Raw genomic sequence first — 27,684 nt, 5'->3', positions numbered from 1 at the left:
ATCTCTGCTCACTGCAACCTCCACCTCCTGAGTTCAAGCAGTTCTCCTGCCTCAGCCTCCTGAGTAGCTGGGATTACAGGCATGCGCCACCATGCCTGGCTAATTTTGTATTTTTGGTAGACACGGGGTTTCTCCATGTTGGTCAGGCTGGTCTCGAACTCCCAACCTCAGGTGATCCGCCCACCTCGGCCTCCCAAAGTGTTGGGATTACAGGCGTGAGCCACTGCGCCTGGCCTTATTTGTGCATCTTTAAGAAGAAATAAAAAATGCATAATCTTTTACCATGATATGACTTGACAACTACTCCCATCCTGATACATAAGCAAACTGTTTTAGTACATTGTTTTTATGTTGACTACAAATAAGTGAACAAATGCTAAAATAAAGAAAAAACAAATGAAAACCCCCAAAATGCCCCCACAAATTATAGTCTCTACTACATGCGAGGTATGGTTCTAAGTACTTTAAATGACAGTATTTATAATCCTCACCATAACCTCATGAGAAAGAAAGTAATGTTATTACCATTTTGCACAAAGGGAAACTGAGGCAGGGTGTATTCGCCTGCCCAAGTGGCATCGGATTTGAACTCAGATCTGAACTCAGGCAGCCTGGCTCTACGGGCTATTCCTTTAACCTTTGATATATACTGACTCACCAATAGGAACAATTCACCTGGTAAAATGAAACATAATGAACGTATTCTATTTAAAACTATGAAAGAAAGAAAAATAAAACGCTTACTTACCAAAGGAAAACTCTCTCCCTCGTGGCTTGAAGGGAACGTTAGAACCGTTAGTCTGGGTCGGGGTTCGAACAGCTGAGGTTTGAGGATTGTTGTTATTAGGGCCTAAAAGACAGAAAAAATAATGATAATCAACACACATTTAATGACGTAAGTGTCTCTAGGTTACAATCTTCAAGTCCAGCCTGTGCCAGAAAACAAAGCTAGGTTCAAATTGAAATGGGTATTCTTGTCATTCCGGCGAGTTCCACAGAAACCATTTTTCTATTTCTACAGAAACCCATTTTTCTTCTCTTCTTCTTCTTCTTTTTTTTTTTTTTTTTTGAGACAAAGTTTCGCTCTTGTTGCCCAGGCTGGAGTGCAATGGCACAATCTCGGCTCACCACAACCTCTGCCTCCTGGTTTCAAGCGATTGTCTTGCCTCAGCCTCCTGAGTAGCTGGGATTACAGGCATGCGCCACCAGGCCCAGATAATTTTGTATTTTCAGTAGAGATGGGGTTTCTCCATGTTGGTCAGGCTGGTCTCGATCTCCCAACCTCAGGTGATCCGCCTGCCTCGGCCTCCCAAAGTGTTGGGATTACAGGCGTGAGCCTCCACGCCTGGCCCTAATTTTGTATTCTTAAAGCAGGCCTCCCAGGCCCCGTGAACTTGGCTCTGCCCTTTAGGAAAGGCTGGCATCTTGTATATAAGAGAGATCTTCCTCTGATCTCTTCCGGAAGGAGGAAAGTCAAGGGTTCAATATATTTTTAATTCTTGGCATTTTTGAACAGAAATAATTAATCAGGTGTAAGTTGTCCATGGATGCCTGTTGGCTATCTTATGAGAAAGCAGGCTCTCTGAAAGTGTGCCACATGACTAAATAGGGACTTCTGCGCCACTCAACACCAGTACGGCAAACTCTTATTTAAAAACTTGACACCTGGGATGTAGAGAATGATCCTAATGCAGTGATTTCCTTCTGCATTTATGAAGAGATGGAAGAAATATCCATACTTGACAGTTGGTTGGAGATTGTCTTTAGTATTGTATGCAGTATTTTAACACTGTGAGCCTGAAAAGACAAGAACCAGCTGGGCGTGGTGGCTCACTTGAGGTCAGGGGTTCGAGACCAGCCTGGCCAACGTGGTAAAACCCCATCTCTACTAAAGATATAAAAATTAGCTGGAGTTGGTGGTGGACGCCTGTAATCCCAGCTACCTGGGAGGCTGAGGCAGGAGAATCACTTGAACCCGGGAGGCGGAGGCTGCAGTGAGCCGAGATTGTGCCACTGCACTCCACCCTGGGCAAGAGAGCCAGACTCTGTCTCAAAAAAGAAAAAGAAAATACTTTTATTCAAGGCACTGCTGTTTAAACCACCCTAAACTTTCTTTCCTTAAAAGAATAGAAAAAAATGAAGAGGAAAAAAAAGATAAAACATTCCACATGACTCTGCACCCTTATTTGTTATGATAAAGGAAAAGCATTTTAGGACTTTTCTTGGGGGAAGTTTATGATGTGATCCATGTTATCTGTTTTCTATTAAGGATTTAAAAATTTTCAATTAGAAGCATTCAGAAATTTAGCTTTATCACAGGCAGCTGTTCACAGTTAAAAGCTAGTTTGGTTAACGTCATCTGTATAAACCTGTATAAACACATAGCTAGTGAACTGACATAATTAGTAAACTAGAGAATGAACAGAAACATACCGAGGACTGGCCCTTACCTTCCACGGTGACCTCAATTTCAGGAACCTTTGAATTACTCCCAGGACTTCGTGGTCTTTTGGGGGACTGCAAAGCTGTAAAATAAGCAGAGTTCCTTTTGTATATTGTAGGGAAAAAAAAATACAGAAGGAGATGCTTTATAAGAGCAGAGTATTAAAATTCATACAGTTTGGTTCTTTTCAAAGAAACCTGCAGAATTAAACTTGTAGTGTAATCCTCCACAGGGGCTCAACAAAGCTGTGAAAACATGAATGAACTGGGATTGCAAATGTGACATTTCCAATGAAATGTTTTGTTTTTTTTAAAAAAAAAAAGAAAAATAGTTCCATTAAATAAAATACCTTAGAAAGCAAAGTAAACAACTCCAAGCCCCACAGAGATATTGGCCGATTCCGTATGATTTAAGGAATGCGGATAAAGAGTGTCTTAATGCGCTCAAATAGGATACGGAGTACACGTAGTCTCTTACCTTTAGTGTTTATTTTACTAGCCATCCCAGGAGGCAAGTAGGAAATAACTAGTTCAGGTCTAGAAAGAAAACCAAGAAGTGTTACAGTAGCCAGTACAGTGGTGGCCTCACAGCTAGTAAAACGGTCGTGATGTGATCAGGGTTTTTTTTTCTAAAGGCATTCACAGAATCATCCTGTAACACAATAATTCCTAGTGTTGTGGACAAAAGACCCTGACTTTTCCTTCCCATGACTGGTAAGCCATTTTATGAAGAGTAAATAAGTGACTATTTTCATTAAAAAAGAAAAAAAAAACACTAGTGTACTTTCTTTAGCCACTAAAATTCTGCAGAAATGTAGATAAGAAAATCAATCATTAGGCCGTGCACGGTGGCTCATGCCTGTAATCCCAGCATTCTGGGAGGCTGAGGCGGGTGGATCACCTGAGGTCAGGAATTCCAGACCAGCCTAGCCAACACGGTGAAGCTCCATCTATTCTAAAAATACAAAAATTAGCCAGGCGTGGCGGTGCAAGTCTGTAATCCCAGCTACTCGGGAGGCTGAGGCACGAGAATTGCTCGAACCCAGGAGGCGGAGGTTGCAGTGAGCTCAGATTGCGCCACCGCACTCAAGCCTGGGCGACAGAGCAAGAGTCCGTCTCAAAAAAAAGAAAGAAACTCAATCATCAATATTTAGTCGCTCTCAAGATTGACCAGGAATAACAGAGCAGATAAAAACCAGCAAATTAAACTTCCATTCAAGTACTCAGGCATACTGCGAGTCACCACGGGGCCTCACGGTGACTCCGCGGAGGCGATTGTCACTATTTTCCTTGCACGGATGAAGATGATTGAGTATGGGCAGGGGCAATGGACAGTACCCGGACTGCAGCTCACAGCCAGGCTTTGCCATCAAGGACTTACAGCCACGCCTGTCACCTCTAGCTTGAAAAACATCTTAACAGAAATGTCATTTTATTGTTTTGATTCCAGAAACGACTACAGTGGCAAAAAGAACTTACTTTTTAACAACGAACTTGATTTTATTACTCCCGTGGACGATCCTTTCAAGTCGTGGAATTCCAAACCAGGTAGGGCTTCGGAAGGGAATCCCCTCTGGCAAGCCTTCCACATACAAGAACTCCGGGTTTGATTCAAACACAGGATATGGTACTTTTACTGCCTCGGTGAGTCCAAGAGCTTGAGCTGAAAGTGCAAGAGAACGTTAAGTTGCGGAGGATAACATTTGACACAGACATTCTTTCTTTGTGTCTACATTCTCGAGTACAGTATGGACAAGCTCCCTACGGTCAAGCAATATCCACTTCATATTGAAGGCATTTTGCTTAGGATATGGGGCAAATCTGAAGAACGAGCCTAAAAAATAAGTGCTTTTAGGAGGAACATTTTAACACTTTCAATCAAAAGGAGAGTTATGTTATTAGTGAAAATGACCTCTATGCTCTGGGCAGAAATGACCGAAGGCCATTCCACACAGCAGTGGACCCTGCTGGCCTTTGTGTTATCAAGAAGCAGGGTGTCTGTTCACAAACAGGCGGTGTCTACGATACAGCTAAGCAGCACTCAGTTCGAGTGGTCAGAGGCAGGGTAGTCAGGACTCCTGATCTGAGACAGGAAATGTCAACCCCAGGTATTGAGATAATGGACAGAAGTGCCCCGGGAATTTTGCTAGCACTGCCCACTCCTTACTTCCTTCTCCATGACAGACACACCCAATCAACTGAAACACTCTTTCTTGCTGAGCCTCCTCAGAATCGTTCTCAAGACAGCACTCCAGGAAACCGCTGTCAACAAATCTAAGCTGAAACAAATGATGAAACCTATTTGCCACATGGGTGTTAGCCAGACGAGAAGTACAAACAGTGGAACTGAAACTTATCCCAACACCTCCCTTCCTCTCCCATTCTGACACGTGAGAAAGTGGAATCCAAGAGAAATGAAGTCATCTGCTTGGTTTCAGTAGCAAGTGTAGTGGTAGAAAGAAACAGAAACCCAGTTTCTGGGACCTTCCTTCTTTAGGTCCTGAACTTTTTTTCCTTCTTTTTTTTTTTTTTTGAGACAGAGTCTCACTCTGTCGCCCAGGCTGGAGTGCAGTGGTGCGATTTTGGCTCACTGCAAGCTCCGCCTCTGGGGTTCAAGCCATTCCCCTGCCTCAGCCTCCCGAGTAGCTGGGACTACAGGCGCCCGCCACCACGCCCGGCTAATTTTCCTGTATTTTTAGTAGAGACGGGGTTTCATCGTGTTCGCCAGGATGGTCTCGATCTCCTGACCTCCCGATCCGCCCGCCTTGGCCTCCCAAAGTGCTGCGATTACAGGCGTGAGCCACTGCACCCGGCTGGTCCCGAACTTCTATACTTCATTCAGACATGGCCCTTTGTTGATATGTTATTAAAGACATAAATACTGGCTTTTACTTACCAAATTTCAAATTAAAAATCTCTTCCACTTGCTTCCGTAGCTTGGTAATTCTGACATTCCAATCTTCTTTGACTGGAAAACAAAAAGAAACCCAATAACCATGTTATTTATCAGTGCTGTTGCAAATCAGAATGGATTTTGCTAGAAAGTACTCTTGTTTGCAGTGATTCTTTTTTGTTTGTTTTGTTTTATTTTTTTGAGACAGAGTCTTGCTCTGTCGCCCAGGCTGGAGCGCAGTGGCGCGATCTCGGCTCACTGCAAGCTTCGCCTCCCAGGTTCACGCCATTCTCCTGCCTCAGCCTCCTGAGTAGCTGGGACTACAGGCACCCGCCACCATGCCCAGCTAATTTCTTTTTGTATTTTTAGTAGAGATGGGGTTTCACGGTGTTAGCCAGGAAGGTCTTGATCTCCTGACCTCGTGATCTGCCCGCCTCGGCCTCCCAAAGTGCTGGGATTACAGGCGTGAGCCACCATGCCCGGCCTGCAGTGATTCTCTTAATTCAGTTTTGTTAAAAGCAAACATTTGGGGTCTTTTTTTTAAATTAATTAATTTATTTATTTTTTATCATACTTTAAGTTCTAGGGTACATGTGCACAACGTGCAGGTTTGTTACATATGTATACATGTGCCATGTTGGTGTGAAAATTTGGGGTCTTAAGGAAAATAATAATTTCCAGTACTTGCCAAATATCAGAAAAACTGCAGAAAGACAGAATTAATTTATTTATTTAGAGAAAGAGTCTTGCTATGACGCCCAGGCTGGAGTGCAGTGGCGTGATCTCAGTTCACAGCAACCTCCGCCTCCTGGGTTCAAGCGATTCTCCTGCCTCAGCCTCCCGAGTAGCTGGGATTACAGGTAGCCGCCACCACGCCCGGCTAATTTTTATATTTTTAGTAGAGACAGGGTTTCACCATGTTGGCCAAGCTGGTCTTGAATGCCTGACCTCAAGTGATCTGCCCGCCTCGGCCTCCCAAAGTGTTGGGATTACAGGCGTGAGCCACCGTGCCCAGCCTAGAAAGACAGAATTTAAATTTAAGTTTACATTGTAAATAAAGTGAAATTTGTCCACATGAAAGAGTGCTCAAAATCAGTGCTTCTCACACATTCCTCCTTGGAGAAGTCCCTCAGGGAACTCGGTCAGAGCAGGGAGGCCAGCTGCATGAGGTTCAAGGGCTCCCACACCAGTTTCAACAAGAGGGACTTTGCTTTTATTTGCTTTCTCTACAGGCAATCCTCGTTTTATCTAACAGATGTGTGCCTAAAAATCTACATAAAGCAACACTTCACTAATCAAAGTGACTTTTCGCATCAGAAATCAATGATAAAGGGACGGAATTCATGTGGGGGGTTGGAGTGGACGCAGGCGTGAGTGGGTCCAGCAGATGGAAACACAGCTGCCAAGTCTGCCCTGTCCTTAGCTTCTGCAGGAGGTGTGGGGAACTCTGCCTTCTACAATGTGATGCTGCACAGAGAGCTGTCTGTCATCTTCGACCAATTCCATGGCATTCAGGACACTGTGATAGGGGAAGGAACGCACTTTCTCATCCCATGGGAAAAGAAACCAATTATTTTTGACTGCTGCTCTTGACCACATTATGCACCAATCATCACTGTGAGCAAAGATTGTCACCATCACACTGGGCGTCCTCTTCCCGCCTTGTTGCTGGCCAGGTCCTTGCATCTTCCAATTACTGGAGAAGCCAATGAAGAATGTGCTGCCATCCATCACTGCGGAGCTCCTCAAGCTGGGGGCGGCTCAGGCTGACGCTGGAGAACTGATCACGCAGGGAGAGCTGGGCTCCAGACAGGTGAGCAATTAACTTCGGAGCAAGCAGCAACCTTTGGGTTCCTCCTGGATGCTGTGACCTTGGATCTGACCTTCGGGAAGGAATTTGCAGAAGCAGTGGAACCAAAGAGGTGGCTCAGCAGGAAGAAGAGAGGGCCAGATCTGTGGTGGCAAGGGCTGAGCAGCAGAAGACGGCGGCCATCATCTCTGCCGAGGGCGACTCCAAGGCCACGGAGTTCATCGCCAGCTCAGTGGCCACCGCAGGTGACGGCCTGATCAAGCCCACAAGCTGGAACCATGGAGGACACTGTACCGGCCCTCCAGCTCTCAGAACTCATCCACCTGCCCGTGGGGACATCTGTGCTCCTCCAGCTGCCCCAGCGCAGGCCGCCCTGCCCTGCACCTCCTCCAGCCAACTGGGCCACAGCACCAATGACTTTTACTACCGCCTTCCTTCTGTCCCCACTCCAGAAATCACTGTGCAATTTCACGAATGGCTTAAAGCAATGGACATAAAAGGAAAAATCACTTCAGAAAAAAAAGAAAGCAATGGTAAAAGACCTAGAGACGTTATTCAGCTTCACTCACAGTGACAGTGGGGTGTGTTTTCCTATCCCTAAGACAACCATTGCCTTTTAAGCATCAAAATTTAAAAAACAAACAAACAAACAAACAAAAAAGCTATTATAAAGACATGTAGAATATCACTGATGTGGACAGAGTATTCAGGTGTGGACAAGGTGCGGATGAGGAGGGAGGTCAACTTGGAGACAATGCAGGATGACTGAAGTGTTTCTGGATGAGCAAAGGAGGGAAAGAGAGAAAGAGGAAACGGGTCGGGGGGTGGAGGGTTCGCCTCGGTGTGGAGGTCATCTCTGATTGCTGACAAATGCAGTGGAAAATGTTGGAGAAGGTCTGACAATATCGCTAAAGGTTGGTGGTTTCAGAAAATCTTATAACATTTCCTTTACTTTAAAAGAAAACTTAGCATCTCAAGGGTTGAATGTGAGTTGTTTTTTCCCTGTGGATTTCAGAGTAGGCCATTCAGCCACAGAAAATAACTCTGGATGAACCACATTTGAATACTACCAATAAAGACCTCGGACTCTCCTCCTCTAAGGTCGAGCGCCTCTATTAACTGCTCAGCCTCCTCTTCTGCCCCACCCCCACCCCCTCCTCCCCCACCTTGCTCCTCCCATGCAGGACTTCACAGCCTCCTCACAGAGCCAGGTGCCACCTCCCACTCCATCACATGCCTGGCTCCGCTGCCTTCTCGCGTGTGACATCTCCCTTTCACCAAGCTGAGGACACTGTGCACCCGTGGTGTGTTTAAGCAGACAATTCTGATGGCCACAAAATTCTTTTCTCTTGTGGTCTGTGACTCGAGTTGTCCTGTCCAAAGACTAACGCATGTTCCACGGGCAGGCCAAGTAAGGTGTTGTTGGAATGAGGAACCACCAAGCACCTTTAATTCCTTCCAAGATCTTTTATGAATGGGACAAAGTCAAGTGCTGTTAGTGACGACAAGAGTGGAGATTCTCCTTCTGGTGAATCTGCTGCACTCTGGTGACGATGGCAGGTCCGGCACTGCTCCAGCACCCAATCCTTGCAGTGACTTCTATGGCACTTGCACATTCTTTTTACAATAGAGGCTTCGCATTCTCAGTTTTTGCAGTCACTCACTGTCACAACTGCCCCTAACAAAAGTGGTGACTGCATTCCTCACAACCTTGAATTTGAGCTTTGTCTTGAGAAATGAAGGTTTCTACAGGTTTCATCATGTTCAGACTAATCCAAACTGAAGATCTACCTCCAGGAAGATTTTTCTTTCTCCATTACTTCCCTGAGCAAAAAATGTGTCACTTCCAATCTTCAATTCTTCACCAGTACTTTGATTGCTTGACCAAATCAAAAGCATGCTGAGGTTAACCTATGAGTTAAGCATTGACTTTTATCTTCTCCACTACAGGACTCCTGGACCAAGATAATTTTGTTACCCTGCTACAGAATTTCTCAGCCACTTTCCATGCCATAATCCACACAAAATCTATTTGGCACACTGACTGACCTTCACTCATGTCCACAAGGTGCTGTGAGAGCTGAAGGAGAAGTATTTTAGGGCACACCCAGGAACCCAACTTGAAACATTTGTTCACCTTAGTAGTCGTGAGCATGATTAACTGCACCAATCTGTATACACCTAGTACACACACAAATTTCATACTTGATTCCTAACACTTATTTCTAACAACAGAAAACTTCACACTACAGGGTATGGGCATTTACACACTACAGGGTATGGGCATTTATTGGTTCTTGGCAACAGAAGTTCCTAAGGTGGCTGATGATCTACAGAGTGTGGTCACTTCCTCTGACATTACACAACGGCAAACAAAAAGAAAGAGGTCAGGTGCAGTGGCTCATGCCTATAATCCCAACACTTTGGGAGGCCAGGGCAGGTGGATCACCTGAGGTCAGGAGTTCAAGACCAGCCAGACTGACATGGTGAAACCCCATCTCTACTAAAAATACAAAAATTAGCCCAGGTGTGGTGGCGTGCAGCTGTAGTCCCATCTACTCGGGAGGCTGAGGCGGGAGAGCTGCTTGAACCCGGGAGGCGGAGGCCCCAGTGAGCCGAGATTGCACCACTGCACTCCAGCCTGGATGACAGAGTGAGGCTCCGTCTCAAAAAAAAAAAAAAAAAAAAAAGATAGGAAAGAAATAAAGGCACACTTAGAGCTCTAATAAAGAAAATAACATCATTCATTGAACAGAGACTTCTTAGATCTTCCCTATTAGGCTGTGATATTTGTGTGCAGGTCAGAGTTACAGTCTTTGCCATTTTAGGAACACGATACATATGAATAAACATTAAGGTCTAAATGCATATAGCAGGTACTATCCCCGAGCAGTTGAAATGTTTGAAATGTGGCTACTTGGAACTGAAATATGCTGTGAGTATGAAAGACGCGCCAACTGTCAAATAAAGAACATGGGATAAAGACCGTGAAATACTTCCCTGTGTATTTCTTTATAATGATTACAGGCTGAACTAGAACGTGGACGATTACACATGTGGCTTGCATTTGTGGGGCACACTGCCTTTCTCATGGATAGCAGTGGTCTACGGTCAAAGCTTGAGTTATCTGTGCACTGCAGGTGTTCACATTGATAAATCAAGGAGTGGCTGGATTGAGCTTCTGCAAATGATTTTTTGGGGAGGCAGGGGAAGGGGGACTTCCATAATTTTAAAAGATTAACTTTTAAAAGCTTACAAAGTATTGATCTGTGCTTTTTTTTTTTTTTTTTTCTGAGAGAGTCTTGCTCTGCTGCCCAGGCTGGAGTACAATGGCGTGATCTCGGCTCACTGCAAGCTCCGCCTCCTGGGTTCATGCCATTCTCCTGCCTCAGCCTCCCGAGTAGCTGGGACTACAGGTGCCCGCCACCAGGCCCGGCTAATTTTTTTGTATTTTAGTAGACATGGGGTTTCACCATGTTAGCCAGGATGGTCTTGATCTCCTGACCTTGTGATCTGCCCGCCTCAGCCTCCTAAAGTGCTGGGATTACAGGTGTGAGCCACCGAGCCTGGCTGATCTGTGTTTTTAAAAAAGGATTTCACAACTAGTTTACCTGGTGTATTCGTTCTTGGCTGAGTAACTTCAGTGGTACTGTGAGTCAGAAGTTCTGGTCTGTAGAAACAGAGTTGATATTAGTAATAAAGCATTTAGAAGCAACTCACAGGCCTTTCTCACCAGCTGTTCATTGCCAATTAGTTATAAATATGGTTCATCCTGCCTTCATTTTATAGTGAAAAAAAAATCATTTTGGTGACGAGTTTATTTTGAAAATGGCAATTTTCAGATATTCGGGTGAGACCTTCAAAATCATCCTATATTTAAGATAAACAGGCGAAAGTCACTTTTCCCCCAAACCAGCTCAATTCTGTTTCTGAATCTTAGATGAACTGTCCCACAGCACAGCCAGAAGCAGCTCGCTGTAGCATCTTAAACGTTTCCTATCCCTTATAACTCAGTCCCAACAAACACACAGAGGCATGACCCCAATCAGTAAGGAAGGTTTACCCTTCCACATCCCGTCAATGAGTGGAGAGAGGCCTTCTGTTCCTAACCCCGCACCCAAACTAACCATTGTGTTATCCTTCAAAATCAAGCCAGAATTACCTTTCTAAAGGGCGGATCCACATTATTTTCAGAGGCATCTGCCTCGAGACCACTTCGTGACTGCCTCTGTGTTCGTAGGATCTCAGGCCTTCCTCCACTTGCCCACCCAAGTCGATCCATGCAACCCCACCACGCCCACGTGGCAGTCCTCACTCCACACACGGTGGGTGAGTTCTGTGGATACGCAGGCATATTTGCCACCTCCTCCCCCTACTCATATGATTTCCTTCACTTGAAACACCTTCCATCTCTTCTGGATGCACAAGTGACCGAGCTAGGTGTGCCATCCTTGCCTTCTCCCTTAAAAACGCTCAATAACACTTCGTTGCATTTTTCTATTTTTTTTTTTTTTAATTATTTTGAGATGGAGTCTCGCTCTGTTGCCCAGGCTGGAGTGCAGTGGCACGATCTCGGCTCACTGCAACCTCCGCCTCTAGGGTTCAAGTGATTCTCCAACCTCAGCCTCCCGAGTAGCTGGGACTACAGGCTCGCACCACCGCTTCCAGCTAATTTTTGTATTTTTACTAGAGATGGGGCTTCATCATGTTGGCCAGGCTAGTCTTGAACTCCTGACCTCAAGTGATCCACCTGCCTTGGCCTCCCAAAGTGCTGCGATTACAGGCGTGAGCTGCCGCGCCCGGCCTTCAGTGCATTTTTCTTTGTATGAAGGCCCCAAGGACAGTGTTCTTGTTAGACCCAATTTTGCACATCTGATGCTTATACTAATATTTGTTCACTAAGTGAATCTAAATATTAATGCCTTCATTGTCAATAGAAATAAGTCATAAGGTAAACAAAAGGCCCTTCTTCATCAAATTAACCTCTTCTCAGGGAAGACACTGAAACTATTTCTACAGATTATCATCTTACCTTTTAATAACAAATTTAATTCGATTGCCCACTTGAATGATTTTTTCCAGCCTTGGGATTCCATACCATGAGGGACTTCGGAAAGGAATGTTTTCTGGCAGTCCTTCCACGTACAGATCATTCGGGTGTGCCTCAAATTTTTGGTACGGTACAGCCTTGGCTTCAGTGCTCCCCAAGGCTTCCGCTGGACAAAAATCAAAGCAATTCGGGAGACTACATTTGTATTGAAATCAGATTTTAGTACAATCCAAAGAAAGGCACAGGTCAATTTTGTTTTACTTGAAAAAAACTCTTTCTAGAAACATATTTATTAACTATTGAATAGACTTAATACAGCAAAGACAAGTAGAGATGACCGATCATCAACAGCCAGATTTGGGCAGATTTAAGTGTCCTGGTCCTAAGACAATCTTAATAGCTCTGAGATCTTTAAAAGATTAAAGTTTGTTTTTCAATATCCTTAGGAAGAAAAGAGAGAAAGAAAATCATCATGGACAATAGAGGACACAACCTAAATACTATCTGGAAGCAGCCTTTTGCTACTAACTGTTCAGGACCGTAATTACCCTCCTCCATCGGCTATGGCAAACTGGTAACACATTTCCGACTACACTTTCATCTGCGTGGCAACCAGATCAATGTTCTTTACCCCTTCAACCTCACGAGCATGCCATTTTAAAGGAAATAACTTTCCACAGATAATTCATAGAATGGGGGCCGGGCGCGGTGGCTCACGCCTATAATCCCAGCACTTTAGGAGGCTGAGGCGGGTGGATCACCTGAATTCAGGAGTTTGAGACCAGCCTGGCCAACATGGCGAAACCCCATCTCTACTAAAAATACAAAAGTTAGCCAGGCGTGGTGGCGGGCACCTGTAATCCCAGCTACTTGGGACGCTGAGGCAGGAGAATTGCTTGAACCCGGGAGGAGGAGGTTGCAGTGAGCTGAGATCGTACCACTGCACTCCAGCCTGGGCAACAGAGCAAGACTCCTTCTCAAGAAAAAAAAAAAAAACCCAAAAAAAAAACAGGGAAAACTAAAGCTGAGTCCTATTCACTGTATTTACTTTCCTAAAATAAAACAACATTTAAAAAAATGTTACTCAGTAATACATTTTAGTTGAAGGGGTAATTAAAAAAAACAGACTTACCAAATTTTTTGCAGAAAAGCTGATCCACCATCTTTCTTAATTTAGTGATTCTGGCATACCATTCTTCCTTTACTGTCAAAATAACAGTAATACAAGTGTTCTCAATTTAATGGGTTTAATAACTTGATTATTAAACATTATTACTATAAAATAAGAGGTATAACTTTTCCTTTTCCTATGGCCAAAATTATTTCTAAGATTCGTGGCCAGGTGCAATGGCTCACACCTGTAATCCCAACACTTTGGGAAGCCGAGGCAGGCGGGTCACTTGAGGTCAGGAGTTTGAGACCAGCCTGGCCAACATGGTGAAACCCCATCTCTACTAAAAATACAAAAATTAGCCAGGCGTGATGGCGCACGCCTGTAGTCCCAGCTACTCATGAGGCTGAGGCAGGAGAATCGCTTGAACCCAGGAGGCAGCGGTTGCAGTGAGCTGAGATTGCGCCATTGCACTCCAGCCTGGGCAACAGAATGAGATTCCGTCTCAAAAAAAAAAAAAGACAATAATAAAATTATTCCTAAGATTCTAGAATGTATTTATTTCTAAAACAATGCTGACACTGTACAAAAAGAGGAAGAACGAAACATTCATTAGAGCTAGGAAAAAGCAAAACTCAGTGTATTCAGGAACAGCTAGCAGGTAACACTTGCTACAGGAAGATTAGGGCTATGATCTTGCTGCAGTCCTTCTATCTTAGTAAATATCAACAGGGTGATTCCATTCTGTTTTATCCTCACTCCACTCCACTCCAGAGCAAAAGCAAGCAAGAAAATCAATTATATTTCTATTTATTTTAAAACACATCTAACAGGCTGGGCGCGGTGGCTCATGCCTGTAATCCTAGCACTCTGGGAGGCCGAGGTGGGCAGATCACCTGAGGTCAGCAGTTTGAGATCAGCCTGGCCAACATAGTGAAACCCTGTCTCTACGAAAAATACAAAAATTAGCTGGGCATGGTGGCAGGCACCTGTAATCCCAGCTACAGGGAGGCTGAGGCAGGAGAATTGCTTGAACCCAGGAGGCGGGAGGTTGCAGTGAGCGGAGATCGCACCACTGCACTCCAGCCTGGGCAACAGAGCAAGACTCCCTCTCAAAAAACAAAACAAAACAAAACAAAATACATCTAACAATTAAGAGATGATATAAATGGCTCCATGCTCTAAAAGGAAACCTTCTTATGTCCTGCATATCATGGACATTCAATGAATGCTTGTTCCATTGACTCGTGTAGACTTCAATAATAAACTGTTCAATGCATTATGCCAGATAAATCTTGCATCAAAAGTAGAACAAATATTGTTCTTTTACTTCTGTCTACCCATAAATGCAATATTTATAAGTATTTACAATGGGTTAATAAAAAGAAGATGCGTTTATTCTTCTAGAAATTATTAGAATTTTGACAACATGAATTCTCCTGTAATGGCACATAATTAATAGTTAGAGACATATTATTTCATGTGGAAGGTAACATAAAGAAGAAATCAATGTTAAGCGTGAAATAATTATTGCACATAATCTTCTGATCTGCCTCGAGATTGAAGACCTACCTCCTGAAGCTGGCTTATCAAGCTGTAAATCTTCACGTGTTGAACTCAGAAGCTCATGTCTGAAAGGTGAGAATAAATACTCAATAATCACTAGGTAATATTCAGCAAACTAATAACGACTAGTACATATTTAACATTTAGTCAGTAAGGCTGGTTTTGAAAAGAAAAGATAATCTGGATGCTTGAGCACAACTAAATCTTTTTTTTTTTTTTTTTTTTTCCTGAGACGGAGTTTTGCTCTTGTTCCCAGGCTGGAGTGCAATGGCGCAGTCTCGACTCACTGCAACCTCCACCTCCCGGGTTCAAGCAATCCTCCTGCCTCAGCCTCCCAAGTAGCTGGGATTCCAGGCGCCCACCACCACACCTGGTCAATTTTTGTATTTTTAGTAGAGACAGTGTTTCACCATTGTTGGCCTGGCTTGTCTCGAACTCCTGACCTCGGGTGATCCAGCCGCCTTGGCCTCCCAAAGTGCTGGGATTACAGGTGTGAGCCACTACACCCAGCCCACAACTAAATCTTAATTTGAGGTTTCTACAGAGTAAAAAGCAAACTAATAATTGCAAGTTGTCTCATAAGGTGCTTCATGGAGCATGTATCCTCACAAGTAAAGAGGTAACTTTGCAACCCACAGGTCTTTGAAGCATATTACAAAAATCTTAAATGGGATCCTTTAATGTCATATTGCATTCAAGACTATCTTCCTCTGCACATCTATAAAAACAATCATATATTCCCACGCATGCTTTAAAAATCTCAGGCCTATGAGGGCGAGGTTGGCAGATCATCTGAGGTCAGGAGTTCAAGACCAGCCTGGCCAACATGGTGAATCACCGTCTCTACTAAAAATACAAAAATTAGCCAGGCATGGTGGCGCACGCCTGTAATCTCAGCTACTCGGGAGTCTGAGGCATGAGAATCGCTTGAACCTGGAAGGCAGAGGTTGCAGTGAGCTGAGATTGCGACACTGCACTCAAGCCTGGGTTCCAGTGTGAGACTCCATCTCGAAAATATATATATATATATATATCAGGCCTAAAAACAAGGCGTGGATTCTATGTTCTTTAGCAAAAGTAGCAGAAAATTGTGAAAGAAAATGTGAGTTGCATGCCAATCCAGTGCGGGCACTGTTCATGCTTCGAATGCCAACACTGCATGACTGATGCAATGCTGGACCCAGATAAATTAAAAAGTGCAAGATAAAAATACATAAAATAACTCAAACTTCATCACATAGAACCCTAGTGGTGAATGAATATTGGTCAACAATAAAAAAGACGTATTACTCAGAAAAGAGACAAGAGTTCAACAGGAATCCAAGAGTCTTACTTCTTAATCACAAAACGAATCCTTTCCTTTGCAAGTAATATCCTCTCCAGGCGAGGAATTCCGTAAGTAGATGGCCTTCTAAAAGGAATTCCTTCAGGAAGTCCTTCTACATAAAGATCTTCAACATGAGACTAGAAAAGAGGGTACGGGATCGTCACCGGACCTTTGGCTTTTATGGCTTGAGCTATAAGGACAAAAAGAGAAAGAGATATCATTTAAACACAATTTGTAGAAAAGAATAATAAATCATTGAATCTGTAGTGCTCTTTAACTTTTTTTTTATTTTTTTGAGATGGAGTCTTGCTGTGTCTCCCAGGCTGCAGTGCAGTGGCGTGATCTCGGTTCACTGCAAGCTCTGCCTCCCGGGCTCACGCCATTCTCCTGCCTCAGCCTCCCGAGTAGCTGGGACTACAGGTGCCCGCCACCACGCCCAGCTAATTCTTTGTATTTTTAGTAGAGACGGGGGTTTCACTGTGTTATATATATATGTATATGTGTTTATGTATATATATATATATGTATATGTGTATATGTACATATACATATATATGTATATGTGTGTATATATATACACACAGGAAGCATTTATTACATGTATGCCAGGTATTACGTGAAGCACTTTACTATCTTATCAATCTCCAGGATAGATCTTCAGTTCTCATGACCACAAAAGAGGATACTAAGACTCAGACAGGAGAAGAGACGTGGCAAGGCACTGTGTCCCCAGAGCCTATGATCTTACCACTAGGTCACAGTGCTTCCAGGTAGCACATGCTATGAAGTTTTTGCTTCATAATGAACCAATAGAAAACATGAGGCCGGGCGCAGCGGCTCACGCCTGTAATCCCAGCACTCTGGGAGGCCGAGGTGGGTGGATCACCTGAGGTTAGGAGTTCAAGACCAGCCTGGCCAACATGGTGAAACCTTGTCTCTACTAAAAATACAAAAATTAGCTGGGCATGGTGGCGGGCACCTGTAATCTTAACTACTCAGGAGGCTCAGACAGGAGAATTGCTTGAACCTGGGAGGCAGAGGTTGCAGTGAGCCGAGATCGTGCCACTCCAGACTAGGCAACAAGAGCAAAACTCTATCTCAAAAAAAAAAAAAAAAAAAAAAACAAAAAACAAAAAACCACGGGCAAAAAAGGTGTAAGCTATTAAAAACTGGGAGAAACACTAAGAGAACCTTAAGTAAACCACTAAAAATATGGAAAAGTTACTGAATTCATTAGCAAATTTACTCTAATTGTAGATTTTCATTGAGGGGTAGGTTATATTACTCATGATGAAGAAAAAATGCTCATTTTAAGTTTGTTAACACAAATACCATCAATATGGTTTATTGCATTTAAATTTTCACTTATAGCAATTCAGTTAAAACTGCATATCATACAATTTTACCGCTTGCTAGTTAATGGCAAAGTAAATAGTCATCCAAATAAAAATGATAACAGATGATAATAAATATGATAAAAATAAAATGATTTTTATTTTAAATCATTTTAAATATTTTATAAAAAATAAAAATGATAACAAATTGTGAATTTCTTTGATCATTATATAAAGGTGGCTATAGGACAGAATAGTAAAAGGACAAAGAAGGAATTGAAATCTAGCATCAACTCAGTTATACATCAAGATAAAAGCAGTGGCCGGGAAGGGTGGCTCACGCCTGTAATGCCAGCACTTTGGGAGGCCAAGGCGGGAGGATCACTTGAGGTCAGGAGTTTGAGACAAGCCTGGCCAACATGGTGAAACCCTGTCTCTACTAAAAATACAAAAATTAGCAGGGCATGGTGGCGGGCACCTGTAGTCCCAGCTGCTTGGGAGACTGAGCCAGGAGAATTGCTTGAACCCGGGAGGCGGAGGTTGCAATGAGCCGAGATCGTACTACTGCAATGCAGAGACTCCGTCTCAAAAAAAAAAAAAAGATAAAAGTAGAGACAATAGGGGGATCTCAGCAAATACTGGATTTAACAAAGTAGATTAACAGAAACTATCAGTTAAAAAAATAATTTTTAATGAAACCCCCAAGATCCAGAGCTTTGTAATAAATATGTAAATAAATTCCCAAATATCCATGCTGGAAGTTTAAAAGAAATGTTAGCTGATAACTACAGAAATACAACTTTTCCTTAGCTTTACTGTAATCTAGAAACAAAGACTGTTTCTAATATTTAGACAGACACTACTAAGGACCTTACAATGAGAGACGTGTAAGAAAGTGTGGCACGGTTCACTGGCAGCCCTGGGCTGGGCTTGTCCACATCACCCCCATGATGAACAGTAACGCCATTGTGTAAATGCTCATGAACAAAGTATTACAGGAATTTTCCTATTTAGACATACCATATTTCCTTTCAAACAATTCTTCAACTTGTTTACGTAGATCAGTGATGCGAGCATTCCATTTCTCTGAAAATTGAGCAAAAGTTAATTCTCATTAAGAAGTCCCTACCATCGGGGCAGCACTAGGGTCTTGGGATGACTGAACATACAATGACATATTTTCTACATTTTTACATCCCAACTGTCCATATCATTTTACTGCTTTCCAAGAACTTTCCCCTTTTTGGTGGTTCTTAGAATTAGTAGGTTGGTGCAAAAGTAACTGTGGCTTTTGCCATTACTTTTAATAGTCTCATGGGAGACTACACGAGAAGTTTTAACATTTAGCACCTCTTTTTAGCCTTTTAATTTCTGAAAAGCAGGAGGGCAGAAAAGATCAAGCAAATGAAACACGACAAAAGGGAGACCACGATAAAGGTCTCCAGGGGTCTTTTAGCAAACTTCCTAAAACATGTGTTAGTTGTGTGGAAATAAGACTTTACGGATATATAGTTGCAACTTAAAATGCTAAAGAACAGGCCAAGTGCAGTGGCTCATGCCTGTAATCCCAGCACTTTGGGAGGCTGAGGCATGCGGATCACCTGAGGTCAGGAGTTCGATTCCAGCCTGGCCAACATGGTGAAATCCCATCTCTACTAAAAATACAACAATTAGCTGGGCATGGTGGTGGGCGCCTGTAATCCCAGCTACTCAGGAGGCTGAGGCAGAAGAATCACTTGAACCCGGGAGGCGGAGGTTGCTGTGAGCTGAGATCGTGCCTCTGCACTCCAACCTGGGTGACAGAGCAAGACTCTGTCTCAAAAAAATAATAATAAAAATTAAAAATAAAGAACAAAAACATATTTAAAAAGTACAAAAATTCAATTCATATCCAATCATTGTGACTATGACACAGTAGAATATTAAAGTACTATTTTCAAGATGTATACAAGCTTAATATTCCATTTATTCAAAATATGAATCATCAACATAATTTGCCGCTAATATCTCATTCAGTCCCTTGCTAGGATACATCATCCATTGAGAGCTCACAGATTAGCAGCTGCAGTAACACAGAGCAAAAAAAAAAAAAAGAAAACCAAGAGGTGAAATAGTTCTGAAATAAAGATTTTAAAGCTAAGAGAAATAACTAAATTACTAAGTCTTTAGCACTAATCTTGAGCTGACTAATTAACATCAGACAAGACAATGTCCTATGCTTTGGTAAATCCAAACTATGTTTAAACAATGTCTGTAATGTAATTTTCAAAATGCTCCTGGCTTTCCAAAGATGAGATTATGATGCAGTAATAGACGCTAAAGCATTTTCCCCCTGCAGAGCATGTTGCAACATTTATCAGTCACACTGAGAATCCAGAAGATGAAGGAAAAGGTCACGTCGTTCGCTGAGAACTTACCGAAGTTGAACTCCCTCACTTTCCGCTTCCCAGCATTGGCGGGTTCCGGGACTGGTGGCTGCGGTAGCTCATTGGCCTTTGGTCTCTTAGACGGTGGAGAATAATCATCATCTTGAAAAAGAAAATGGTCATTACTGGAAGAACCATCTTACAGTTACAGTCACCTCCTGGTCAATTCCCAACATTCAAAAGGTGAGCAGGGCTTTAAAGCTATTTTGAGTATCAATAGTTATTTCTGTATTGTGAGCTTTAGCAGGCTTTTTCCTTGTTACATTTGAAATTTTCTTTGTTTGGGATGTGTTCAAGTGAATACTGCTTTTTCCTCTGTCTTTCTTCATTATTTTTTAGTTTGCTTCATTTGAATTGTCATTATAAATTTCCCCTTCTCAAATAACTTTCAAATTGCCAAGAACTATATTGTTTTAAGACTTTCAAGAAAAAACTTTTAATAAAGACAGCCACCTAAAGTTATAAAAGGGGATAGAGTACAGCTTAGATGGAAAAGATATTTAAGCTTATACAAAATTTAAGCATGCATAAGCAAGGGAAATTGGGTAAATAGTTTTTTTTTGTTTTTTTGTTTTTGTTTTTGTTTTTGTTTTTGAGACAGAGAATTGTTCTGTTGCCCAGGCTGGAGTTCAGTGATGCAATCTTGGCTCACTGCAACCTCTACCTCCTAGGCTCAAGCAATCCTCCCACCTCAGCCTCCTGAGTAGTTGGGATCACAGGCAGGTGCCCAGGCAACTCTCCCAGGCAACCATGGTTGGCAGGTCCCAATTTCTACTGAGATCACCCCACGTAGGTCACATGGCGAGGGTCCCACACCCCAGCCTCACCACTTCCAACGAGCCAAACGCTTCCCATTTCCAGCCCGACGATGGTACTAACTTCCCTGCCCCTCCTTGGAGATCCCCAACCCCAAATAACCTCTCCTGATCTCCAGGGTCTCTTGGTGACAATACCTGCCTGCCTGCCTTAGCTAAGGGGGTCAGTTGCTTCTATCAGTCTCAATGCCCCAGAAACTGAGCGAAAACCCAAGTATTCATGGCCTACTGAACGCAAAGTCTGAGTCTGACCCTGGTATTCTATTCCTTGGTTTTTAGAATGCCCCCAGACAAAGATGAGGGCTGAAGGCTCAGAAAGGCCGGGTCAGGCCAGGTGAGGTGGCTCACGTCTGAAATCACAGCACTTTTGGAGGCCGAGGCAGGAGGATCGTTTGAGGCCAGGAGTTTGAGGCCAGCCTGGGCAACAAAGTGAAACCCTGTCTCTACAAAATATTGTAAAAATTAGCCAGGTGTGGTGGCACACACCTGCGGCCCCAGCTATTCAGGAGGCTGAGGCAGGAGGATCCCTTGAGTCCAGGAGCTGCAGTGAGCTATGATTTTGCCACTGAACTCTGGCCTGGGTGACCGAGCGAGACCCTGTCTTCAAAAGAAAACAAGAAAGGTAGGGTGACCTGCCTGGGAATATGTGGTAGGAACAGCAGAGTGGAGAGAGAGCGCTTGATAAGGTGTCTTGTTGGGAGACATTCCCCACACCATGGTGCCATGGGAATCACATAAGCAGGTCAAGTGTGCCTCACTCAAGCACTCAGGAACCAAGCTTGCAGAGGGGGTCAGGGCAGGAAATGCACACGACTCCCAGCCAACCCCACACTCTGGACCTGGGGCACCTGCTAAGCACTTTCTCTGTAAGATCTCACTTCAACCTCCCGTGAACAGCCCTATAACGTGGGTGCTATCACCTTCTTCATTCTTCTACAGAAACTGACAAACGCAGTTAAACCAGGCTAATTTGGACTGACGGGCTGGGTGGGGACGTCATCAGAGAGAAGCTGCAGGAGGGAAATTGTAGACTAGAACAAAGTCTGAAGAGGGTGGAGAAAAGCACAGATTAAAAAAAAAAAAAGAAGAAAGAAAGAAATGTGGCCAGGCATAGTGGCTCACGCCTGTAATCCCAGCACTTTGGGAGGCTGAGGCAGGTTGATCACCCAAGGTCAGGAGTTTGAGACCAGCCTGGCCAACATGGCGAAACCCTGTCTCTACTAAAAACGCCAAAATTAGCTGAGTGTGGTGGTGCACACCTGTAATCCCAGCTACTCGGGAGGCTGAGGCAGGAGAATCGCTCAAACCCAGGAGTCAAGAGTTTGCAGTGAGCTGAGATTGCGCCACTGCACTCCAGCCTGGGCGGCAGGGTGAGACTCTGTCCCCGCCACCAAAAAAAAAAAAAAAAAAATGCGTTTTACTGCCTGCAAGCTCGAGTTCTCCCTCCAGCACCCTACCCACCAGGGCTCCTCAGAGGCCTGGCTTGAGGAATGGATACGGTAGCCTTGTCATCTGCAGGTGACACCAGGCCTGCAGCTTGTTCTCTGAGGTGTCACCCCCTTATTCTTTTTTTTTTTGAGACAGAGTCTCACTCTGTTGCCCAGGCTGGAGTGCAGTGGTGTGATCTCTGCTCACTGCAACCTCCGCTTCCCGGGTTCAAGCAATTCTCCTGCCTCAGCCTCCCGAGTAGCTGGGACTACAGGCATGCACCACCACACCCGGCTAATTTTGTATTTTTAGTAGAGACAGGGTTTTACCATATTAGCCAGGCTGGTCTTGAACTCCTGACTTTGTGATCCGCCTGCCTCAGCCTCCCAAAGTGCTGGGATTACAGGCGTGAGCCACCACGCCCAGCCCATACACCCCCTCATTCTTGACTGTGCTGCTCTAGTGGACGAAACAGCCCCAAAGCATTGCTCAGTTGGGAGGGGGTGGAGGGAGTCCAGCCTGGGTGTGTGCAAAGGAGTCACCCAGGAAATTCGCCGCGGGATCTGCCCTTACAGATGCACTCGCCTGGGGCCAAGCCCTCGGTGGCTGGGGCAGGTTACCCAGAGGCCCAGGGGCCAAATGCAGGAGCAAGTTCCCATCAGGAAAGGGGAAGAGTGAAGCAGAGATCCAGCTCCTGCATGCAGGGGAGTGGGCACGGGCAACCCCTTACCCCAGGGTCGTTCCCCAGCCTCACCTCTAAGGCAATGAAGGAGGGTAGAGTCTGAGGGCGCCCCTGACACCTCCACCTGTCCCCATCCCCTATCAGCGTTCCACATTCCAGTGCAGGCCCAAAATTCTAACCCCAAAGAAGAAGTGTGGTGGGGTATGCTTCTTCCCACTTTTTTTTTTTTTTCTTGAGACTGGGTCTCACTTTGTCAACCAGGCTGGAGTGCAATGGTGTGAGCATAGCTCACTGCAGCCTCCAACTCCTGGGCTCCAGTGATCCTCCTGTCTCAGCCTCCAGAGTAGCTGGGGCTACAGGTGTGCACTACCACGTCTGGCTAATTTTTAAAATTTCTTGTAGAGACGGGGTCTGGCTATGTTGCCCCAAATGGTCTTGAATTCCTGGCCTCAAGCGATCCTCTTGCCTCCACCTCCCAAAGTGCTGGGATTATAGGCGTGAGCCACCGCACCGGGCCTTGATTTCACATTTGAACTCTCCCACATTAAAAAAAAAATTATTAAAAAAAAAATAGGCCCGGCATGGTAGCTCATACTTGTAATCCCAGCACCTTAGGAGGCCAAGGTAGGAGAATTGTCTGAGCCCAGGAGTTCAAGACCAGCCTGGGGAACATGGTAAAACCCCAACAGGATGGATTTGATTCCTATACAAATTGAAGCTGCCCTGCCAAGGAGGGCCTGCCTGGAGGGGATGAGACCTTCGTCCTGAGGCCTCAGAGTCAGGGGATCAGGAGTCGGGGAGCTAGAATAGAAGCACACAGCCTGGGCACGGTGGCTCACGCCTGTAATCCCAGCACTTTGGGAGGCCGAGGCGGGTGGATCACCTGAGGTTAGGAGTTCGAGACCAGCCTGGCCAACATGGTGAAACCCTGACTCTACTGAAAATATAAAAATTAGCCAGGCATGGTGGTGTACCCCTGTAGTCCCAGGGAGGACTGAGGCAGGAGAATCACTTGAACACGGGAGGCGGAGGTTGCAGTGAGCCAAGATTGCGCCATTGCACTCCAGCAGCCGGGATGACAGAGCAAGACTCTGTCTCAAAAAAAAAGAAAAAGAGGACAAGACATGGCGGTCAGCGTGCAGAGGAGGTGCGACTGGAGAAAGACTGGGGGTCACGTGGGCAGGACCTGGGTGGGCTGGGTGGGAGGGGGGCTGGATGTGGTGCTGTGCACCAGGGAGGGGACACAGAAGCAGGGGGCAGTCTGGGAGGAAGACTTGCAAGCACCATATGGGGACACAGTAGACACCCAGAGTGTCCAGGCACCCTGCAGGCAGAGCTGGTGTGCAGGGCAGAGAAGGGTGCCCAAGACATTGCTGGGAGCAGAGAAGTCACACCTTCCTCAAGGCCGGCTGGAGGACGCAACGGCTCTTTGTGTTCCAAGAAGCAGCTCTTACCAGGGGGCTGCCTGCCTGGTCCCCAGAGTTTCTCCAGTCTCCTTACTATAGACCCCTCCCCTCCTGCCAGCCTCCCGCATCCCCACAGCTCAGCCAATCTGAAACAAATAAACAGCTTCCCTTCCTCCAATAAAAACCAGCCATCCTGCAATTGTCAGATGTGCCCTTCCAGTGCTTCCAAAGCAGAACAGACCATCCGTGCCATGGGGACAGAGGCCACCACTGCCACCTCGCTGAGGCTTGCATCAAGTAGAGGGCACCTCAAAACATCCATTGAATTTCTGTGAATAATAGGTTCACTATGTAATCAACACCTCACTAAGTCCCTAACATAAAATTCCCCATTTAATTCTCACAACCACCCAAGATGTTGATAGTGTTATCTTCAGTTATTTTTTGGTAGAGATGGGGTCTCACTATGCTGTCCAGGCTGATCTCAAACTCCTGAGCTCAGGCAATCCTCCCGCTTCGACCTGCCAAAGTGATGGGATTACAAGTGTGAGCCACCATGCCTCACCTTATCCCTATTTTAAAGATGAAACCAGGCCACGGTGTGGTGGCTTACGCCTATAATTCTACCACTTTGGAAGGTCAAGGCAGGAGAATTGTCTGAGCTCAAGAGTTTGAGACTGGCCTGGGCAACATAGTAAGACCCTGTTGCTACTAAAAATCTTTTTTAAAAATTAGCTGGGCATGACGGTGCACACCTGTAGTCCCAGCTACTTGGAAGGCTGAGGCAGGAGGATTGCTTATGCCTGGAAGGTTGAGGCTGCAGTGAGCTATGCTCATGCCACTGCACTCTAGCATAGATAACAGAGCCAGACCCTCCTTGGAGGTTCTAAGTTGCCCAAGATCACATGGCTGGTGGGTTGTGGGAATTTGGATAAAAACACATTTTCCTGTTATGTGCATATCCTGAGAAATGACCCTTGGCATAAGCTTTTCCATCTTGGGTTAACAGTGGAAAGGAGTGGAGGGCATAGGCGGCGAGGAGTTCGGAGTGGGGGGGCCAAGGCTGACCCCCAAACTGCTGTTGTCCACTGTGTGACTTGGGGGCAGACAGCTCCTTCCTGTAGAGCTGCTATGAGGGTGAATGATGGGAACTCCCAGCGGAGGCCTCATGCATAGTGGGTGTTCAAGAAGGATCTGCCATGGCCGGGAGCAGCGGCTCACGCGTATGATCTCAGCCCTTTGGGAGGCCGAGGCAGGCGAATCACCTGAGGTCAGGAGTTTGAGACCAGCCTGGCCTACATGGTGAAACCCCATCTCTACTAAAAAATACAAAAATTAGCTGGGTGTGGTGGCACATGCCTGTAGTCCCAGCTACTCGGGAGGCTGAGGCAGGAGGATCACTTGAACCCAGGTGGCAGAGGCTGTACTGAGCCGAGATTGCACTGCACTCCAGCCTGGGCAATAGAGTAAGACTCCGTCTCAAAAAAAAAAAAAATATGGGAACATCAGACACTGGGGATTCCAATAGAGGGGAGGTTGGGAAGGGGAGGAAGGTTAAAAAAATTACTTATCGGGTACAATGTTCACTATTTGGGTAATGGGCGTACTAGAGGCCCAGTCCCTACCAGTATGCCATATATCCATGTAACAAACATCCACATGTACCTCTTGAATCTAAAATAAAATAAAATCTTAAACATTAATTTTTATTTTTATTTTTTTGAGACAAGGTCTGGCTCTACTGCCTGGCTGGAGTACAGTGGCACAATCTCGGCTCACTGCAGCCTCTACCTCCCGGGGTCAAGCGATCCTTCCACCTCAGCCTCCTGAGTAGCTAAGACCACAGGTGCACGCCACTAAGCCCAGCTACATTTTGTATATTTTGTAGAGATGAGGTTTCACCATGTTGCCCAGGCTGGTCTCCGACTTGTGAGCTCAACCAATCTACTCACCTCAGCCTCCCAAAGTGCTGGGATTACAGGCATGAGCCACCACACCTGGCCTCAAATTTTATTAATTGTGGTAAAATACACACAACAAAACCTACCATCTTAACTATCTTTAAGTGTGCAATTCAATCGTGTTAAGCACATTTTCAATACGGACAGCAATTGCCACCATCCATCTCTAGAACTCTTCATCTTACCCAACAGGAACTCCATACCCACTAAACACCAACTCCCCAGCTCTTGGCAACCACCATTCTTTCTGTCTCTATGACTCCGGCTACACCAGGTATTTCATACAAGTGGGATCTCATGCAGTATTTGTTCTTTTGTGACTAGTTTATTTCACTCAGCATGATGTCTTCAAGGTTCATTCATGTTGTAGCATGTGTCAGAATTTCCTTCCTTTTCCCCCCTGAATAATATTCCTTTGTGTGAATACATCCCACTTTGTTGATCTGTTCATCCATCAGTAGACACCTGGGTCACTTCCATCTTTAGGCCTTAGTGAATAAGGTTGCTGTAAATGTGGGTGCATGGCCAGGCGCGGTGGCTCATGCCTGTTATCCCAGCACTCTGGGAGGCCGAGGCTGGTGGATCACTTGAGGTCAGGAGTTCAAGACCAGCCTGGGCAACATGATGAAACCCCGTCTCTACTAAAAATGCAAAAATTAGCCAGGCGTGGTGGCGTGCACCTGTAATCCCAGCTACTCGGGAGGCTGAGGGACCAGAATTGCTTGAACCCAGGAGATGGAAGTTGCAATGAGCCAAGATCGCACCATTGCACTCCAGCCTGGGTGACAGCAAGACCCTGTCTCCAAAAAAAAAAAAAAAAATTGGGGTGTGCAAGCAAAACCTCAGGCTTTTAAGCAGAGATGCAGAGATCTAGCTCAGAGGTTGGAGTATGTTCAATGTGTTATGGTGAGGGCAAGCCTGAGAATATGGCACCTAGACACCAGTTTTCCATTTAGGCCAGGCGCTGTAGCTCACACCTGTAATCCCAGCACTTTGGAAGGCTGAGGCAGGAGGATTACTTGGGCCCGGGAGTTCGAGACCAGCCTGGGCAACATAGCGAGACCCCATCTCTACAAAAAAAACAAAAATTATCTGGGTGTAGTGGCGAGTGCTTGCAGTCCCAGCTACTCAGTGGGGCTGAGGCAGGGAGGATTGCTGGAGCCTGAGAAATCGAGGCTGGAGTGAGCTGAGATTGCATCACTGCACTCCAGCTTGGGTGACACAGTGAGACCCTGTCTCAAGAATTTTTTTCAGGCCAGGTGCGGTGGCTCATGCCTGTAATCCTAGCACTTCGGGAAGCTGAGGCGGGTAGATCACAAGGTCAGGAGATCGAGACCATCCTGGCTCACACAGTGAAACTCTGTCTCTACTAAAAATACAAAAAAATTAGCCAGGCGTGGTGGCAGGTGCCTGTAGTCCCAGCTACTCGGGAG

At 45.1% G+C, this 27,684-nt stretch overlaps 2 pseudogenes across 1 annotated transcript in view, besides 4 other annotated features; one reads left to right on the top strand and one right to left on the bottom strand.

Moving 5' to 3' along the window:
• Positions 1–3,014: part of a non allelic homologous recombination region, noted in NCBI's record as "sub-region SSN3-SSN6, recombines with sub-region SSN3'-SSN6' within the WBS medial block B recombination region", that runs on past the window's edge. NCBI's record gives the evidence for it as "EXISTENCE:restriction fragment detection evidence [ECO:0001124][PMID:12796854]".
• Positions 1–14,923: part of a biological region, named in NCBI's record as "Williams-Beuren syndrome centromeric block B recombination region", that runs on past the window's edge. NCBI's record gives its function as "recombination_partner: LOC106029312".
• The window catches only part of GTF2IP4 (general transcription factor IIi pseudogene 4), a 52,373-nt pseudogene that overhangs the window by 11,821 nt on the left and 12,868 nt on the right, over positions 1–27,684 (bottom strand). The window contains exons 2-13 of the transcript NR_003580.2: positions 19,951–20,061; positions 18,554–18,619; positions 16,206–16,389; positions 14,879–14,937; positions 13,328–13,399; positions 12,178–12,361; positions 10,757–10,815; positions 5,339–5,410; positions 3,922–4,105; positions 2,921–2,979; positions 2,451–2,525; positions 749–850 (exon numbers count right to left, since the gene is read on the bottom strand). The product of NR_003580.2 is annotated as a general transcription factor IIi pseudogene 4 (transcript). The remainder of the gene's footprint in view (positions 1–748; positions 851–2,450; positions 2,526–2,920; positions 2,980–3,921; positions 4,106–5,338; positions 5,411–10,756; positions 10,816–12,177; positions 12,362–13,327; positions 13,400–14,878; positions 14,938–16,205; positions 16,390–18,553; positions 18,620–19,950; positions 20,062–27,684) is intronic.
• Positions 3,015–14,923: a non allelic homologous recombination region, noted in NCBI's record as "sub-region SSN1-SSN3, recombines with sub-region SSN1'-SSN3' within the WBS medial block B recombination region". NCBI's record gives the evidence for it as "EXISTENCE:restriction fragment detection evidence [ECO:0001124][PMID:12796854]".
• Positions 4,277–5,310: a meiotic recombination region, noted in NCBI's record as "meiotic double-strand break mapped by DNA meiotic recombinase 1 chromatin immunoprecipitation followed by single-stranded DNA enrichment and sequencing in the germ cells of some male individuals with the PRDM9 AA genotype". NCBI's record gives the evidence for it as "EXISTENCE:chromatin immunoprecipitation-seq evidence [ECO:0000229][PMID:25395542]".
• Positions 6,740–7,507, top strand: PHB1P5 (PHB1 pseudogene 5; annotated as a pseudogene).

Source organism: Homo sapiens, chromosome 7, assembly GCF_000001405.40.
Source record: "Homo sapiens chromosome 7, GRCh38.p14 Primary Assembly".
NCBI classification, from domain to species: Eukaryota; Metazoa; Chordata; class Mammalia; order Primates; family Hominidae; genus Homo; species Homo sapiens.
Note: the sequence above shows the minus strand (reverse complement) of the source record. Positions and strands in the feature narration are given on the sequence as shown.